Source organism: Homo sapiens, chromosome 21 (genome assembly GCF_000001405.40).
Source record: "Homo sapiens chromosome 21, GRCh38.p14 Primary Assembly".
Taxonomy (NCBI): domain Eukaryota; kingdom Metazoa; phylum Chordata; class Mammalia; order Primates; family Hominidae; genus Homo; species Homo sapiens.
This window is the reverse complement of record NC_000021.9, coordinates 44075741-44094592: the sequence shown is the minus strand read 5'-3', so window position 1 is coordinate 44094592 and position 18852 is coordinate 44075741. Positions and strand designations below refer to the sequence as shown.

Here is an 18852-nt window from a genome sequence, read left to right as displayed (position 1 = left end):
AGAAAGCAATGCCCCTGAAGATGAAATGACTCCAAGAAATATTTCCAGGGAGTTACTAAGTCAACATGAGAAAGGGAAAAAGATAGAAGAAAAAAGGAATCTTTGGGCTTTCCAAATGACAAACACTCCTCTTAGAGATGCCCCCAGGAGTGTGGGCATCTCAGATGTGTCACTTGAGAAGGACCTGGGGTTCTAAAATAAAGACAGTCAATGATTCAACTACCCCAACAACTGTTTTTCTCCAGCTGCTCCTTCATTATGTTGACAGAAGCTGTCTATTCAGTTCTTCAGATTATAAAGAACATAATGCCATCTTTCATTTTTTCACCCCCACCCTCCCAAAATAATACATCACTTACAAAAAAATTTTCCACTTTAAATTCATAAGTATACGGCTTTAAGGAGATAGACAGCTGTTCCTCAGAAGCTGGGGAAAATCCAACAGAGAACCGGCAATGCAGAGAAGGGGGAGGCTCTTCTGTCCACTTGAGTTCCCAGACGAAGAACACCGACTGCTTGCTGTAGATGGGCTGGAAAGAGAGTTGGGGGTCACTGCTCACACAGCACCATAACCGCAAAGAGGACACAGACACTGCAGCGAAACACACGCCATGCGAAGGGTGCTGAGCAGACACCATGGGCAGGCCCCGCCTCACAGCACGCCTATGCATGCTGCTTTAGGCCCCACAGCACCTGTCCCTGCCCTGACTCCCTTTGCCTGGCCTTGTCCCAGCAGAAGATTGTACAAAATTGGTAAATCTTTAACTTTTTATGATACCATAAGTTTTATATCATATGAGATCATTAAAAAGTAGCTTAATTTTTTTTTCTTTTTGAAATGGAGTCTCGCTTTGTCGCCCAGGCTGGAGTGCAGTGATAGGATCTCGGCTCACTGCAACCTCCACCTCCTGGGTTCAAGTGATTCTTCCGCATCAGCCTCCCGAGTAGCTGGGACTACAGATGCACGCCGCCATGCCCAGCTCATTTTTTGTATTCTAGTAGAGACAGGGTTTCACCGTGTTGCCCAGGCTGGTCTTGAATTCCTGAGCTCAGGCAATCCACCTGCCTCGGCCTCCCAAAGTGCTGGGATTACAGGTGTGAGCCACCACGCCCCGCTGATTTTTTTTTTCCCTTTTTTAGAGACAGGGTCTCACTCTGTCACCCAGGCTGGAGTGCTGTGGTGTGATCACAGCTCATTGCAGCCCAACCTCCCAGGTTCAAGAGATCTTCTCACCTCAGCTTCCTGGGTAGCTGGGAATCCAGGTGTGTGCCACCATGCCTGACTAATTTTTGTATTTGTAGAGATGGGGTTTGCCACGTTGCTCAGGCTGGTCTCAAACTCCTGAGCTCAAGTGATCCACCCATCTGGGCCTCCCAAAGTGTTGGGATCACAGGTGTGAGCCACCATGCCCAAAGGATATTAATTAATATATAGCATATCCCATGCAGCTCCAAAACAGGGGAATATATCATCAATTAATTAAAGAGTACATCTTGGCTAGAGGTGGTGGCTCATGGCTATAATCCCAACACTTTAGGAGGCCAAGGTGGGTGGTTCACCTGAGGCCAAGAGTTGAAGACCAGCCTGACCAACATGGTGAAACCACGTCTCTATTAAAAATACAAAAATTAGCTGGGCGTGTTGGCGGGTGCCTGTAATCCCAGCTACTCAGGAGGCTGAGACAGGAGAATCGCTTGAACCCAGGAGGCAGAGGTTGCAGTGAGGCAAGATCACACGATTGCATTCCAGCCTGGGCGACAAGAACGAAACTCCATCTCAAAAAAAGATAAATAAAAATTTAAAAAATAAGATAAAAAGTAATCTTTACATCCAGCCAATTATTTTATATTTAAATTATTTTAGGAACCAGCACAACCTAATGCAGGGGCTGAACACCGCTATTACATGTAAAGTCCACACCTAAAAGCACAGTGATGAGCCCCCAGTGATATCTGAAAGAGCTAAAGGATTAGTGGGGGCAAATCCTTTGAAAATGCTGAGATTCAGACATCCATTAAGGAAGCCTTTGATCTCTAAACACTCAGCATTTACTGCCTAAAAACACACGTGAAAGATAAACGGAAAAAGCAAGTTCAAGATTCATCCAGGCAGCGAGCCATAAACAGAAAAAGCAAGGTCCAGATGCAGGCACAAGCATGGCTCTTTTACAAAGGCACCAAGGTGTCGGGCACCATCGCTCTGGCACTGGCAGGCATCAGGCTCTGGGCAGAGTGGAGCAGTGCCCATGCAATCAACAGTGCGTTCAAACAGAAGCTTGGATCTGCACACGTCTACGCATAGAGTGGGACCAGTTTCAGATTTAATTCTTCTAAAAAGAAGAATTCATCCATCCAGCCACCCGCTTACTCAGGAGCAAGCCTCGATCCAGCCTCAGGGCAGCCGGAGGAGCTGCACAGGAGCCTTTACTCATCAGCAGTGCAGCTGTTCTATCTAAAGGCTCAGTCGCAACACATACTACATCATTTCCGTACACTCTGGTTCTCTGTTGAGAAGTTTATGCTCAGGTCTACACAATGTTTACCTGCTGGGACTGCGTGTTCAGTGGTACTAGTTGCAGGTCGGTACTATCACCGGTATCTACAAGATAACTATCTGACAGCTGAAAGTCAAGTTCTGACAAATTCTGGACACAAACTTGAACATATTTCCTAAAGTGGAAAAACAAAAAGTATTATTTTGATATGTAAGAACTTTATTAAATATATCTTAGCTTTGTTAAGGAGACCCTCTCTGCCTGGGGAATCAAAAAAGCAACAAAGCAAAGTAAGCTAAGTTGTTGCATAAGTTTCCCTTCAGATTTCACACCGAAAAGTGCCAGAAAATAAACCTTTTTGGCCGGGCACGGTGGCTCACGCCTGTAATCCCAGCACTTTGGGAGGCCGAGGTGGGCAGATTATGAGGTCAGGAGATTGAGACCATCCTGGCCAACATGGTGAAACCCCATCTCTACTAAAAATATAAAAATTAGCCAGACGTGGTGGCACGTGTCTGTAATCCCAGCTGCTCGGGAGGCTGAGGCACGAGCATTGCTTGAACCTGGGAGGTGGAGGTTGCAGTGAGCTGAGATCACGCCACTGCACTCCAGCCTGGTGACAGGGCGAGACTCCATCTCAAAAAAATAACAAATAAAAATAAATAAAAAAAGTTTTTAAAGAGGCAAGTTCTGTGAGGCAATGGAAGAAAGAATATAGTTTCTGACCAGCCTTATTAAGTGATCATGGCTGGTCACCCTCACTGGCCTTTGGGGAGCCACGGGGAGACAGCAGCAGCCCTCCTCATTACAGGTGAAGACTCTCCATTGAGAGATGATAGGCGGGGCTTATATCCATTTCCATTACATGCAAAACTTTGAAAATATTAATAATAGTTACTATTTTTTGAGACAGAGTCTTGCTCTTGTCGCCCAGGCTGGGGTGCAATGGCACGATCTCAGCTCACTGCAACCTCTGCCTCCCAGGTTCAAGTGATTCTCCTGCCTCAGCCTCCCGAGTAGCTGGGATTACAGGCGCCCGCCACCATGCCCGGCTAATTTTTGTATTTTTAGTAGAGACGGGGTTTCACTATGTTGGTCAGGCTGGTCTTGAACTCCCGACCTCGTGATCCGCCTGCCTCGGCCTCCCAAAGTGCTGGGATTACAGGCATGAGCCACCACGCCCGGCTGAAAAATAATTTTTTAATAAGGTTCTTTTAGAGATTATTGATGTTTTTAACTATTAATATCTACAGTTCCCTTTGCTGTGATTTGAAGGGGAAAAAAGCTGCTAGTATAATGTTCCATTCTAAACATGGGTCTGACGTTTTTGTTTCCAAATTATCCACACATCATCAATGGATAAAAAGTTGTGGTGAGAGGCCAGGCTAGCATCCCGAGCCCATTGATCAACGCTAGCACCGTCACTAAGGTAGGACACCTGGACACCGTGGGCCTCCCGGTGCAGTCAACAGGAAGCACACAGCCCCGCCTGCCTCAAAGCAGAACTGGAGTCTACTCAAGCCTTTAGGGCAGCTGTTTTCCACTGGGGCACGTCCGCCCCACCCAGAGGACACTGGGCAGTGTCTACAGACATCTGTGGCTGCCACACCTGCAGGTGGGGAGTGCTACTGGCATCTCATGGGAGAGCCTGGGGTGCTGCTCAACACCCTACAGCACACAGGAAAGCCCCTACAACAGAGTTATCTAGCCCAAAATGTCACTAATGCTGAGCTTAAAAGCTCCTGTTCTAGAGGTTGCAGGCAATTGACAAGAAATACAGGGACAGGAGAACTAGTTAACAAATCCAGCCAGATCCAGAAAGGCGGGCGTCCAGAGGAAACCTGGCCTGCAAGTGAACAAGTCGATGGCTTGAAAACAGGGAAGAAAGGATGAACAGAGATCTAGTGGTCTGATGGAGATTTTGGACCCCAAGTCACACAAAGCAACCATAAAAGGTCATTTTCAGACAGTTGGGAAAACCTGAATATGAACTGGATGTCACAGGACACCAGGGAATTGTGGATTTTAAGACACAAACAATGGCCTTGTGGTCACATAAGAAGACATCCTTGGTCACCACGAAGGCCAGTTTTGAACATTAGGAACCTCCACTTAGAAGAGTCTGGGGAAAGAAGCCAGGGCCCGCACGCTACGCCTCCGTTACCGTGTTCCTGAGGACAGGAGGCTGTGTGTGGTCCTGAAGGGTACGCTGAAGGTCAGTGCGATGACTGTGGAGTAGATGGACCACGGGCAGTCAATCGACACCTGAGGAGGAAGCACAAAGACACTCTCAGACCACTCGCCGACGGACAGCACAGCCACCACCACTGCTGCCCAGACTCACCTGCAGTGCCCGCCCACGCCCTAGACATTTTATTATGGCTTCAACCACTCATTATCCAGGAAGCAAAGCCTTACCCAACACATACACAAACCAACGAGAAACAGGAAGCTATGCATACAGACAAGAGAAACGAACGCAGAACTGGCAAGACATGCACACATCACCAGAGTCACCTCAACGGCGGAAGAGCACAGCCGTCCTCTAAGCAGCAGACCCACCTGCTGCTCCCATACACGCAGGGCCGCGGAGCCATGCATGTTGCAATGTGCACAGGGTTTTGACAAAGTGCTTTCAGTCATGTATTTCCAGATGACATTAGCCAATCAGTAACTACTCCATAGTTAATGAATTATCTAAGCATTTAATCCATGTGAGGCTGAATATGTAACTGAAAACCAAATCAGTTTAGGGGCACAGTGAGGACAAAGCTATTACATCCCTTAAGGGCAGGAAGGAAGCAAGTCTCAAGCCTTATTCCCCACAGGGAAGAGGTGAATACCCCAGCACACAGCGTGCGTGCCGCCAGTGCCAGGGAAGAGAGGATAACACGGCACATAGCACAGGTGCCACCAGCGCCAGGGAAGAGAGGATAACACAGCACACAGCACAGGTGCCACCAGCGCCAGGGAAGAGAGGATAACACGGCACATAGCACAGGTGCCACCAGCGCCAGGGAAGAGAGGATAACACGGCACATAGCACAGGTGCCACCAGCGCCAGGGAAGAGCGGGGTAACACGGCACACAGCACAGGTGCCGCCAGTGCCAGGGAAAAGAGGATAACACGGCACACAGCACAGGTGCCGCCAGCGCCAGAGAAGAGTGGGATAACACGGCACACAGCACAGGTGCCGCCAGCGCCAGGGAAGAGAGGATAACACGGCACATAGCACAGGTGCCGCCAGTGTCAGGGAAGAGTGGGATAACATGGCACACAGCACAGGTGCCGCCAGCGCCAGGGAAGAGTGGGATAACACGGCACACAGCACAGGTGCCACCAGCGCCAGGGAAGAGCGGGATAACACGGCACATAGCACAGGTGCCACCAGTGCTGCGCGCTCCTGCTGAGCTAAGCGCCACCTTCGTGAATGGTGAACGTCTGTGTGAGTTAAGGGAAAGACACTTCCTCAGGTTCTTCAAAAGCTGAACATTACAACATTCGTCTTCAGGCGTGGACTTGTCTGGTGACTCCGTGCTTTGGAAAGACGGCATGCCTTGCCCTTTGCCCCCGCTGCTCTTGGGCGTATACTGCGGCCCCTGGGCTGTTTCAGGGCCCTCAGGATTGATTTCTGGGCTACGAGACTTGGGCACACCCTGAGTAACATGATGCAGCGACACATTCCATGAGCTGATATCCTGTGGCTCTGGGACCGAAATCACATCTTTCTCAAGTAACTGTCAGTAAGTACCAGCACCAAAGCCTAAAATGAGACAGCTCCTCCGTGGCTGAGCTTATGAGTTTCAGTGGACAGACACCGAGGCACACACGACACAGACCTCCTCTGGCCTCGTCACCGGTCTAATGGACATGACCCAAGTTTTACGCCCCTCATGCCTAAGCCGGCCCTAACCTCTTACAGCAAACTCCCTGGCCCCTGGAACTGAGAGGGAAAGGTAGAGCTGGCTTGTCTCTGCCCTTGCAAAAAATGCACCCCTTATCTAAGAAAGGGTGATTCACAGACAGACAGAACTGCTAAACACATGCCCAGGGCATCGGGAATCAGAAGGAGCCAGGCTAACAGCAGGCATCGCTACATCGCCTTTCCCAGCAGGCAGGCGGGCGGCGGACGCCCCACAAGCTAAGCTCCTCCACTGTCCCTACTCACTTTGTGGTCTGTGGTAACCATGCAGCGGCCAGTTCTCTGTTTGTCCTTATGCTTCCTGTGGGGCTCTGCCATCCCCAGCATGTCACTCTCCCCTCCGAGTGCTGGGGCTGAAGGTAAAGAGAGAACTTCCAGTTCAAATTCGATCACGTGGTACGCAGGCGCAACAGGCAGACTGATGCTCGTGACCTTGTCGGAGGACTGAATCCGGAGCGCGGCCTCAGAAGACTGTTCTACGAAGGACAGAAAAAGTCACTTCAAAGCTGTTCCCTCGGTTTCACTTGTCCTTTTCCTTACAGCAGGTGATGGCCCAGCAGTGAGGCCACTGCTCAACCTCTCCCGCTCCTGCGCACCTGGCAGGCAAACCCAAGAACAAGGCCCCTAGGACAGAGCAGCCCTGTGTGAAAGCCGGCAGGCAGGCGCCCAGACCCATCATTGATCTCAATCTGAAGAGAGGAAAAGGGCATTTCCCACGGGGCCCACCCAAGTCCTGTGTAGGTCCCTGCATGACTTTCTCCCGTTCCAGCTCATCCGCAGATCCACCCCCACCCCAGGGGAGCAGGGTCCTCCCCTTCCCCTTCCTCGTGGCTGGGAGGATGGGAGTGCTCAGGGCTCTCAACAGCACCTGCAAGGGCTGCTCTGCTTTTGCTTCTCGGGAGCAGGGCCAGCCCAAGGGGGACAGGGTCTGGCAGGCATCACCATGGAACGTGACCCCAGCCGTGACCCCCATCTCCTAATCCTCAGCCAGACAAGCACTGCTCGGCCACTCAGCGTGTGAACCACTCTCAGTTTATCACCTCAGATGGGACCCCAGCACAGGCATCAGGCCGCAGGGCTCCTATGGAACACGGACTCCAGACACTGTTGAGGGGCGCTCAGCAGGATGGCAGCAAGGCCAGGCTCACCCTCACACCCACACAGTGCAGGGCAAGGTGGGCATCCTCCTTGGGCCTGGGTGGGCGGCACCTCACCTCTCGTGTTGGAGTAGACCACAGCCCTGCTCTCCGCCTGGCACAGGATGAGCATGGCTTCGGCATTGCTAAGCTGCAGGCTGTCTCCATTCTTTATCGTATAATGGCCGGTAGTGACAGTGAACTTGACTCTCTGAGGAATGCCTGCCAGAAGGCTATCTAAAGGAAAAGAGATCGTGGCTCAGCACCGCTGCCAACCGGAAGACAGCATCTCAGGGCCCGCAATGGGGTGAAAGGGGCTCTATTTCTTTTACTATGAAAGATTTGCTCCTTTGGGATCTCCATGAATTCCTTCTACTTCCATTCCCTTCTGCCCTAACTTTTCATCTCAATGATGTGGACTACAGGGTTGAAGGAGAACCTTGCTGGGGAAAAAAGAATCCTGTGAGTCAAGGAGTCTTATACCCATCTTGGTTCAGCAAGTCAGGGATTATGATCATGACTACGTCTCTGAGGGTCACAAAATTTGCCTGCCCATTAGTAGTAGAAGAGAATCACATAATGAGGCTTAAGAAGAGACTGTAAAGAAAACTTGACTGTGCTGGTGCTGCTCAAATATTCAAAACCTTCTCTGGATTTTTCAGCTTCAGGCCACGGGCTTTTGGGTTAAGAACAGTCAGCAGTCAGGTGGCTCCCCCTCACTCCAAGACAGCAATGAGAGGCAGGAGTGAGCTGAGGCCTCTGAGAATCCTGCTGCAGGGAAGACAGAAGGCAGGCAAGATACCAGGACCGGGGGGAGAGTGGACAGAGACAGGGGACACTAGGCAGGAAGCAGGAGCCAGGCCATGAGCCTGGCACTGCAGCCGCTGGGCCATGGGGAGGGCAGGGCCTGCTGGCTGGTGCTTCGGCTCCCCTGCGGGAATCGAGTTCAGCTTCTCTACACAATGTTCCAATGGAAGAATCACTGGAGAGACTGACTGCTGTGTCCCACATCTGACAGCCTTTGCTGGTGGCCACACAAGAGGCACAAATGCAGAAAAATAGGGGGAATGGGGGAATAACAGAAAAATGCCCTTTGTGATTTTTTTCCACGTAGAAGAAACAGGCAAATAAATAAATCGTTGCTAGCCCGAACAAAGGAGACATTCACTCACTCTTGTTCAGCTGCCACATGTTCTTCAATCATTTGTTTATAGCAACTCCTTCCAATTTTAGAACTTATCAGAAAGGACAATAGCTTTGAATTTCTCAAATGCCATGCCAGACGGACAAGTTTAATCAACCCTTTCAAAGGAAAACTTTTTTTTTTTTTAAGAGATGGAGTTTTGTTCTGTCACCCACGCTGGAGAACAGTGGCGCAATCACAGCTCCCTGAGGCCTCAAACTCCTGGGCTCAGGAGGCTGAGGCAGGAGCCTCAGCTGGGGCTCCAGCCTGTAGCTAGGACTAGAGGCCGTGGCGCACGACTACACCCAGCTAATTTACTTCATTTTTTTATTTTGCAGAGATGGGGTTTTGTCATCCTGCCCCGACTGGCTTACCCATGCTGGTCTCAAAGCCTTGGCCTCCCAAAGTGCTGGGATCTGAGTATAGATCCTAACTAAATCTAGTGTTTAGCATTTGAAACGTACTTCTAAGCAGGAAATTATATACATATTTATGAAACCCTGTGGTAGACATTAGCTGCTTCTTGGCCTAATGTGACACTGTAAAATACACATGTAGTTTTCAACCCCATTTCCAGGCATACTAGCTCCCAAATTCCTTAGAATCTCCAAAGTGATGTCTTTTTGTAGGCTAATGAGTTGATTGGAGGCTGGCAGCTCCAAGGTAGCTTCAAGATGAGGACTGGTCACCAGAATGACCAGGGCAGGATTAGAGGGTCGGGCCTTTCAGCAGTGGCACCCAACCTCCAGGGAGGAAAGAGGGGCTGAAGGTCGAGTTGCTCATCAGTGGCCAGTGGTGTAATCGATCATGCCTGTGTAATGTCACTTCCATAAAAACCAAAGGACAGGGTCTGGAGAGCTTTCAGGCAGCTGAACACATGGAGGTTCCTGGAGGGTGGCGCCCAGGGAGGGCGTGGAAGCTCTGCACCCCTTTCCCCATACCTCACCCTCCACACTTCTTCATCTATATCCCTTATAATAATCCAGTCAACCTGTTTCCCTGAGTTCTGTGAGCTGTTCTAACAAATTCATCAAACCCAGAAAGGGGGTTGTGAGAGCCCTGATTTCTAGCTAGTTGGTCAGGAGCACAAGCAAAAGAACCCTGGGCTGGTGGCTGGCATGGGAAGGGGGGGACTGTCTTGGGGACTGAGCCCTCACCCTGTGGTGTCTGACGCCAGCTCCAGTAGACAGGGTCAGAACTGAATTGCAGGACCGACTGCTTGCTTGCTGGCAGGGGGAAATCCCTGCACATTTGGGCCCAGAAGTCCTCTGCATTGACCATTAGGTTGAGTGAGCCAATAGAAAAAAATACCTTGAGTTTCTTTTTTCCACTCTCAGAGCTAATTCTTCTGTGTTTCTTATTTTCAGATACACCATGTTTATTAAACATGAAAAAGCAATTACAGGAAAGCAAACATTCAGATAAACAAAAGAGGCAGTCAGCTAGTTCCCAGGCAAAATTTCCATTATGTTACCCAAAATATCTCTTAAAGGCAGACACAGCTAAAACTTATGAGAAGCCTGGCATCTCAGCAGGTCTCCTCAGAACTGCCCCAGCAGCACGCCTCCTCAAAGGCTGGGGACCCCACTCACCAGCCAGCGGCTCCACGTGCAGCTGGGGCTCCTGTGAGTACACGTCGTACTGCACAATGGGGTAGATGTGAGGGAGGACGAACCACACGGAGCCCACCGAGGCGCACAGCTGCCTGAGTGTATACGTTCCAGGTTCCTTGGCCTAGAGTCAAAGAATCAGGCATTTGAAACCACGTCACCCAGTTTTGCAGTTAGCTTCCTGCGGTAGCGCGGTGCAGCGGTCTCTCTGAACTCCAGAAAGGCCTGTACTTCTTTCCCTCTTGTACCCCCTGCTCTTGTGCCTAAACCTCTAAGCTTGGGCTCTTCACAAGGCCCTCAGAATCTCTCAATTCGTGATTTTCTGAGTAACTGATGCTTAAATTTAACTTTAATAAGGTATTTTCAACTTATCTAAACTGTATTTGTGGCATTGTAGAGACATTCAGCACGAGATTTAAGCCCTGCCCTAGACTAAAAAATGTGACAAATAGCTGTACTTTCCACAGGCCAAATCCTGTTGAGTTAGTGGAACTTACAGGATATCCTGTGTCAGAGAAAACTTTATGTTAGAGTGGGTGAGAAACACCAGTTTTGACACCCAGCCAGCCACAAAAGGAAAATAAGTTTGAGTGGGAAAGTGTACCACCTTCTTTGAAAGCTCATTTTAACAAATGAGGGTGTGTATTTTCATATGCAGGGGGGAAAGCTAACTGAATCCAATAATCCAATGAGTTAAAAAGCTAACTTAATCTAAGAACAAATATCTACGTTAAGAACTTCACTCAGAATTTATCAAATGTCAGAAAATTGTATAAAACACGAAAGAAAACATCAGTGTATTTTTGTATAAGGACAGAGACAAAAACAGGGTTAGGAGAACAAAGGACTCTACTCAATTCACAGCACACTCCAGACAGTTCTTGTAAGCTCCACGGCCCTGCTTTACAAACTTGAAAGTCAAGTTCCCACCCTGAACGCATACCTGAGTCCTGAATGTTATCTGGTTGGCCCCTGGTTCCAGGGTCACGTGGCTGCACCTCAGCACGTGGGCACCCTCCTCCAGAGCCACCCCTGAGGGCATCTCTAGAGAGGAGCTGCTCTCCTGCCTTCTCAGGAGCATGTGGACGTTTCTGCAGATAATCCCAGTCGTGTTCAAGGAGTTATCAGATGGGCTTCTCTCAAACATTTCATACAACTCCAGCGCGGGCAAACTGTTTTGGGATACAGGGAAAGGTGCGGTCTCGGGTGGAAAGTTAATGATCCCATTGGACGTCTTGTGCTTGGTAAGCCACTCCGCAGTCTTCCGGTAGCTGTTTTTCTCAATGCTGAAGTGGACATTGACCACAATCTGCTCCACGTGAACAGGCACAGGCATCTGGCTGTACATGGTTATCTCAACGCACAAAACGCCGCCCACGTGGACCACGGCATTGGAGGGATCAAAATGGAGATCTCGCAGTTGTGCAAAGGAATGCATGGGTAGCACTATCTTATGACCTGTAAATAGACATTATCGTAAGTGACTCCCCAAGTCACACTTCCTGACAGTAAGCAGCAGCAGGCCGCGGACACAGTAAGATCACCGAGAGCAGACTGAAGCAAGCAGCAGTGATGGGCACAGCAGCTGAGCCCAGCCTCCTGCCATCTTCACACCCCCCAAAGGCTATTGTATCAAAAGCAGAATATTAGCAAATACCTACGTAATGCCTAGAAATCATAAAATGTACAGAAATTAACCTTCTCAAGTCTGCTTTGACAAACCTAAGAGAAATACAGGTCAACTACCTCTCAATTTCAAACGACAATTTGTAAATAGTCCAATTTCTACAGCTATTTCCAAGGGATTCCAATATTTTCTCACCTACTTAAAAACATGCTCAGTGAAGATGCCCAAGTGCCCTGCTGTGATGTGGAAACAAACCCCAGGTGTCTGCCAGTCTACAAAGTCAGCCGATTAAGCAGGACCCCTCTGTGCCCCCAGGCCCAGGATGGCAGCAACCAGCCAGGTCTACAGTTGCTGCTGGAATGAGAGCCTAATGCTCTCTCTGGGCCCTTCTCTCTCTGACCGAACTGTAAGTACCTTGGTTTTGTCTAGAAAATACACAAGGCTGCAGAAGTGACCAGTTAAGTATTTATTAAATATTCATCAACGAAAGGACTTGCCAAGACTGATGCCATAGATCATGAGAAACAGTAAACGATTGTGGAATATTTTATTCGTATAGAGATACCAAGGAACGTTGGCAGGAACATCACAACTCAAATAGTCTCAAATACAAAGCAGCAGCAGATGTGGTCACGGCTCTACCAACAGTCAGCTTGGGCGCGTTAAAGACTCCACAGACTAACGTCATGATGCTCCCGAGAAACCCACCCACATGGATCTTTTGTTGTCCCCCTTTCTTTGAGACAGGGTCTCGCTCTGTCGCCCAGGCTATAGTATAGTGGCACCATCTTGGCTCACTACAGCCCAGTTCTCCTGGGCTCAAGCGATCCTCCTACCTCAGCCTCCTGGGTAGCTGGGACTACAGGTGCCCGCCACCACACCTGGCTAATTTTTTGTAGAGACAGGGTTTCGCCATGTTGCCCAGGCTGGTCTCAAACTCCTGACCTCAAGTGATCTGCCTGCCCCGGCCTCCCAGGGCAGGCAGAAGTTCCTAGAAGTTTCAGGGTCAGGTTGATGTGGTTATTGACTGCTGGGGTGTATTCACTTACAAGCATCTGGGGCCCAGCGTGGTGGCTCACGCCTGTAATCCCAGCACTTTGGGGATTACAGTATGGGGTTTCTTTTTAGGGTGATAAATATGTTTTAAAATTGACTGTGGTGGCCAGGCATGGTGGCTCACATCTGTAATTCCAGCACTTTGGGAGACCGAGGTGTGTAGATTCCTTGAGCTCAGGAGTTAAAGACCAGCCTGGGCAATATGGCAAAACCATCTCTACTAAAAATACAAAAATTAGCCAGGCATGGTGGTATGCTCCTGTAGTCCAAGCTACACAGGAGGTGGAGGTGGGAGGAGCAATTGAGCCCAAAAAGCAGAGGTTGCAGTGGGCTACAATCATGCCACTGCACTCCAACCTGGGAGACAGAGAAGAAAAAAAATAGCTGGGTGTGGTGGCCCACACCTGTGGTCCCTGCCACTCAGGAAGCCAAAGTAAGAGGATCTCTTGACTCCAGAAGGTTGAGGCTACAGTGAGCTGGGATCGTGCCACTGCACTCCAGCCCAGGCAAGAGAGCAAGATAGTCAAAAAAAAAAAAAAAAAAAAGAAAAAAAAAAAGAACAATAATATTGACTGTGGTAATGGTTGCACATATTCCTGAAACAGACTAAAAGCCATTGAATTATAAACTTCAAATGAGTGAATTACATGGTTTGTGAATATCACAATAATGCTGTTACATTTTAAAAAAAAAAAAAAGCACCATCTTAAAAAATGAAGAAAAAGACTGGGTGCGGTGGCTCACATCTGTAATCCCAGCCCTTTGGGAGGCTGAGGTGGGTGGATCACCTGAGGTCAGGAGTCTGAGACCAGCCTGGCCAACAGAGCAAAACACTGTCTCTACTAAAAATACAAAAAATTAGCAGGGCATGGTGGCGGGCGCACGTAACCCCAGCTACTTGGGAGGCTGAGGCAGGAGAATTGCTTGAACCCGGGAGACGGAGGTTGTGGTGAGCTGAGATGGCACCATTGCACTACAGCCTGGACAACAGAGCGAGACTCTGTCTCAAAAAAAAAAAAGAAGAAGAAGAAAAAGAGATGGGAAGAACTTTTTTTACATTAAAAGAGAACTGAGATCTAACAACCACATGTAATATGTGATATCCTGTTGGACTCCATTAAAAATGATTTATAAAATACTTTAAGACAATTAGGGAAATATGAATATGGCCTACTTAGCAGATGATATTAGAACCTTATTAATTCTTTGGGTGTGGTTAAGAGACTGTCCTTATTTTTAGAAGATCTAATGTGGTCTAGAGTTTGACTTAAAGCAAAAATAAAAAAAAAAGTCAGGTGAAAGACATAGATACATGTCAGCTACACAGCAAAATGTTAGCAACTGTTTACTGTAAGTGGTTGGTATATCTTGTATTCTTTTTTACTTCTGTAATATTTGAAAATATTCCTAGTCAAGTTGTAAGAACTGGTCTTACCTGGGCTGTCTGACGGCTGGCTGGCAAAGTCAAGTATCTCCTGGCAGAAGTGCTTGCGCTCCTCTTCAGTGAGGTGGTGGTCACTGGCTAAGAGGCTGCTGGTCTGCAGGTAGCTGGAGCGGAGAGGTAAGGAGCGTGGAGAGGCTCATACTTAGGAGTGCGGGGGGAAGTGGATGCAAAGTCTCCTACGGCCTTCACAGAGGCTTCAAAAGCCAAAGGGCTTTTTTTTTTTAAGTTACTAGGGCTCAAAATTAGATTATAAAAAATCGACTAGACATTTCATTCATTTTCTATACAATACATATGTATAAGTTAGGACTTTTCTCTCCTTAATAATAGGTGTGAATGAAACATTGATTGTGGGCAATGTTGCCGTATAAACAGAAAATAATTTTCCTGCTTCATGAAAACATTAAAGGATACTTTTCAATTTGTCCAAGGTGCTTTTGACATTCGGCCAGCTGCTTCCTTGTGTGTGTGATGGGGAGTGCCCAGCCCTCAGCCAGGTAGTTTTTCAGTGCTCCTTGAAGATAGATTTCTGCCTTTTGTGGAGCCTTTTTCCTCCTTGCAAAGTCAACAAACAGTAGCTTTCATTACAGCTAGGGATAATCAACACACTGAAACCCCATCTCTCCCGCTTTGGCCTCCATCCTCCAGACCCCATGCCAGGACAGACTCAACATCTCTAGATAGCCCTTTTCCACCCACCCCACTCCGTGAGAAAGAGTACCTACTCAGGACGACATAATTAGACTCCCAGGCAAAGATCTGAGAAATGAGCGTGTGGTGATAAGAGCACAACACATCGTTGGTCTGGCTTTATACACATGTCGAGGAACTTTCATAGCTGAATCTCAGGATAAGAAAGTGAGCCTATCATTCATGATCTCAAGCTGACAGGCAAGAGGGCCAAGGCTAAGAGAAGGTGAAGGAAGGGCTTGTCCACAAGTACACTGCTAGTCAGCAATGAAGCCAGGAAGTCCAAGTATGGGTCTACACTACCTACTAAAGGCACAGAAACACAGAAGCAGTCTACAGGGCGCAAGCGGAAGGGAGCACAGAGCCACTTGGAAACTCAGGCAAAGAGCACTCCACAGGATCCAGCTTCCAGAGAACGCCGGAGAATTAAAATAGCCACACTTGGCCCCCAAAGCAAAGTTTAAAGCACAACTGTTTTTTTTAAAGATGGGGTCTTGCTCTGTCACTCAGGCTGGAATACAGTGGTGTGATCATAGCTCACTGCAGTCTCAAACTCCTCAGCTCAAGTGATCCTCCCGCCTCAGCCTCCTCCACTGTAGCTGGGACTACTGGTGTGTGCGGCCTTGCCTGCCTTTAAAATGCAAATTAATAAGGGCTTGTCAAAGCCTCAGGAGCAACAAGGATCCCCTCCCCTTTCCCGAGAAGCCTCTCTGCTTCCTTAAGGAGCACCTTCCTCTTCAGATACACAGCATGGAAGTTCAAGAGAGCTACATTCTAGCTGTGACTCTGCTGTTAACCAGTGGGTAATCGGCAAAGCTGCTCCAACCACATCCGGAAAACCAGAAAGTTCACTTAGCTGATCTAAGAATCCCTTTCCAGCCAATTCACATCAGTTCAAATCAATTCTCATTTCTTGCTTCACCTAATGAAATCACTTGAGTACAGATTTCAAGATCTCATTTCAATCACTTTTTTTTTTTTTTTTTTTAGAAAATGAAAACAAGCATCTTTTTCCTTATAGCTTGTATCTCCTTTGAGTACTCTGAAATGGTAACCACATGACCCACTGGGGTTTCTTCTCTTTGATAGTCTGATTTTATGAAACACACCAGAAATACGCTAAATTTTGAGTTTTTCTGGAATCAAACTTCAAAGCTGGAGCTGGAATGGAAACCCTGCAGTCTTTGTACACACCTTCTTCCAGTCATCCCTAGATCATCCCTCTTTCATGAACCTGACACATGCAGTAGCTTTACATCAATGGCCTTGAGGTTTTTCAGTCCTCTTAATACTTGATAAAATTAGAGAAATGCTATATAACAAAATATGTAAGAATCTATATGCCAATTTACTCACCATTATACTGTCTTATAATTCTTTAATTAAACTTAGTTACAAAAATGTATATATTTAATTAAATAAAAGAACCTCAAAGACCAATAACAGTTATTAAGAGTAACAAGCAGAAAATCTCTCCATCTGGTTTTCAGAAGAAACTGAAAAAAAAATTATGAGGACTGGGTAAGAGAATCTACACTTTTCAGTCTACAAATTTATGTGCACTTTATACTAACTCCATATATAACAAATCTTCTCGTGTTATTTGTATGTTTAGAATTCAAAGAAAAGTACAAAATCAATTACATGTAAAACTCTGCCAGATCTTTTCCAACAAACTTAGCAGATCGAATCCTCCCAATGCTTGTATACATTTCAATGGTGGCATGGGACAAATCCTGTGGGGAAGTAAAAACACAATTATGTACTTGAACTTTTAATGATGGACAAATACTACATTTATTCACCTAAAGCTCACACAAAAGACATTGTTGGGTTTTTGTTTTGAGACAGAGTCTTGCTCCATCGCCCAGGCTGGAGCACAGCGGTGAGATCTCAGCTCACTGCAACCTCCGCCTCATAGGTTGAAGTGATTCTTGTGCCTCAGCTTCCCAAGTAGCTGGGACTACAGGCGCCACCAGGCCCGGCTAATTTTTTGTATCTTTAGCAGAGACAGGATTTCACCATGTTGGCTAGGCTGGTCTCAAACTCCTGACCTCAAGTGATCCACCTGCCTCAGCCTCCCAAAGTGCTGAATTACAGGCGTGAGCCACCATGCCCAGCCCGCAGAAGACATTGCTAATAATGTAACATTATTTTTTCCTTTGCATCTATTTTTGTGAATTTTTCTGTAATATATAAGCAAAATTGGTAACCTGTGTATAAATTATGAAGCATAATAATAAAAGAAACCCACAAACTCATCCAAAACATCTAACTTTTCCAAGGACTTTCTGCACGTGGGTGACATGCTGGGTATTTTTCATACTTGTGTGTATAAGAGGTACAGCCATTACGGGCAGACCAAACGCTCAAGTTGCCCATGACCCGGGAATGACGCTGACCCACCACACTTCTGCCTACGCCGTTTTTTAAAGTTTTGCTAATTTAAGTCTTTCAAAATCAAATACAATAGCTCTGCCCAAGTCCAAATTACTCCTTTTTACAAAGAAAAGTATTCACTAGCCTCTCTTATAATTTCTGTGTGAGCAAACCCAATTTGAACAAAACGGTAAATATTCAAAGATGATTCCATGCCTAGCATGGTACCATGGGCACTAATACACATTTGATGAACTACTCCATGTTTTGTCCACAACTCCCCAGGTACCAAAGAAACTAAAAAAAACCAACAAGAAGGGGCCCCCCACACCAGTTCCTTCCCAACTCAACAGGCCATGTAGCAAAGCCTTCTAGAGACAGGTATTCACAGAACAGACATTGAACACTTGTTAATACTTACTAAGTAGTGTTTTTCAAAAGCTTCCACTGACGATAATGCTTCTTTCAGTTTCTTATAAGGACTCTGAGCTGTGTTGGCTTAAACAGAAAGAAACGAGAGTCCCTCTTCATCTTCATCATGTCCAGTCACATGACTTTACATTCACCTTCACATACTGCAGGTAGATGACCTCATCTGACTCTTGTGAAATTACAAACCGGCCAATGCCAACGGAAACTACATGATTATGTACATTCTCTTTCAATTCACATATTCATAAAATAGTCAAAACGCTTTGTGTCATGCTTTTTCTCTGATCTTTAGAACTAAACTTTTTTAGAAACATATATTACAAATACTCCGATGAATTAAATTACTTCCGAAGTGATCTGAAATGGTCTCAAGTTGAAACAATGAAATATAAATACTACGTATTTTTTCCCTTAAACATTTATTCAATTTACTAAGAATGTTTTCAGCTCATCAGATATTCTTTAGCAACAGTCTTGCTAAATAATACTCATCATATATTCCTACGTAAAACAATGAGTAATCCTCCTTTCAAAGAGCCTTATTATCCAGGAGAATTTTTTTTTTTTTTTGACAGAGTTTTGCTCTTGTTGCCCAGGCTGGAGTGCAATGGAGCAATCTTTGTTCACCACAACCTCCACCTCCCAGGTTCAAGCGATTCTCCTGCCTCAGCCTCCCGAATAGCTGGGATTACAGGCATGCACCACCACACCCGGCTAATTTTGTATTTTTAGTAGAGATGGGGTTTCTCCATGTTGGTCAGGCTGGTCTCGAATTCCTGACCTCAGGTGATCCGCCCACCTCGGCCTCCCAAAGTGCTGGGATTACAGGTGGGAGCCACCGTGCCCAGCCAATTTATTTTAAAAAATTTGCTGGGAG

General features: G+C 47.1%; 1 protein-coding gene across 25 annotated transcripts in view; it reads right to left on the bottom strand.

Moving 5' to 3' along the window:
* The window catches only part of TRAPPC10 (trafficking protein particle complex subunit 10), a 94244-nt gene that overhangs the window by 11960 nt on the left and 63432 nt on the right, over positions 1-18852 (bottom strand). For 13 of the 25 annotated variants that reach the window (XM_011529714.3, XM_011529716.3, XM_011529719.3 and 10 more), the window contains 12 exons: positions 17965-18041; positions 16809-16900; positions 14889-15029; positions 14466-14578; positions 11291-11805; positions 10330-10471; positions 9895-10005; positions 7633-7791; positions 6665-6894; positions 4660-4760; positions 2544-2670; positions 360-530 (listed from right to left, as the gene is read on the bottom strand). In XM_011529714.3, the coding sequence (XP_011528016.1) occupies positions 360-530; positions 2544-2670; positions 4660-4760; positions 6665-6894; positions 7633-7791; positions 9895-10005; positions 10330-10471; positions 11291-11805; positions 14466-14578; positions 14889-15029; positions 16809-16900; positions 17965-18041 (1979 nt within the window). Of the gene's footprint in view, positions 1-359; positions 531-2543; positions 2671-4659; positions 4761-6664; positions 6895-7632; positions 7792-9894; positions 10006-10329; positions 10472-11290; positions 11806-14465; positions 14579-14888; positions 15030-16808; positions 16901-17964; positions 18145-18852 lie in introns of those variants that run through there. The other 12 variants (NM_003274.5, XM_017028454.3, XM_047440970.1 and 9 more) reach the window with 7 other exon arrangements.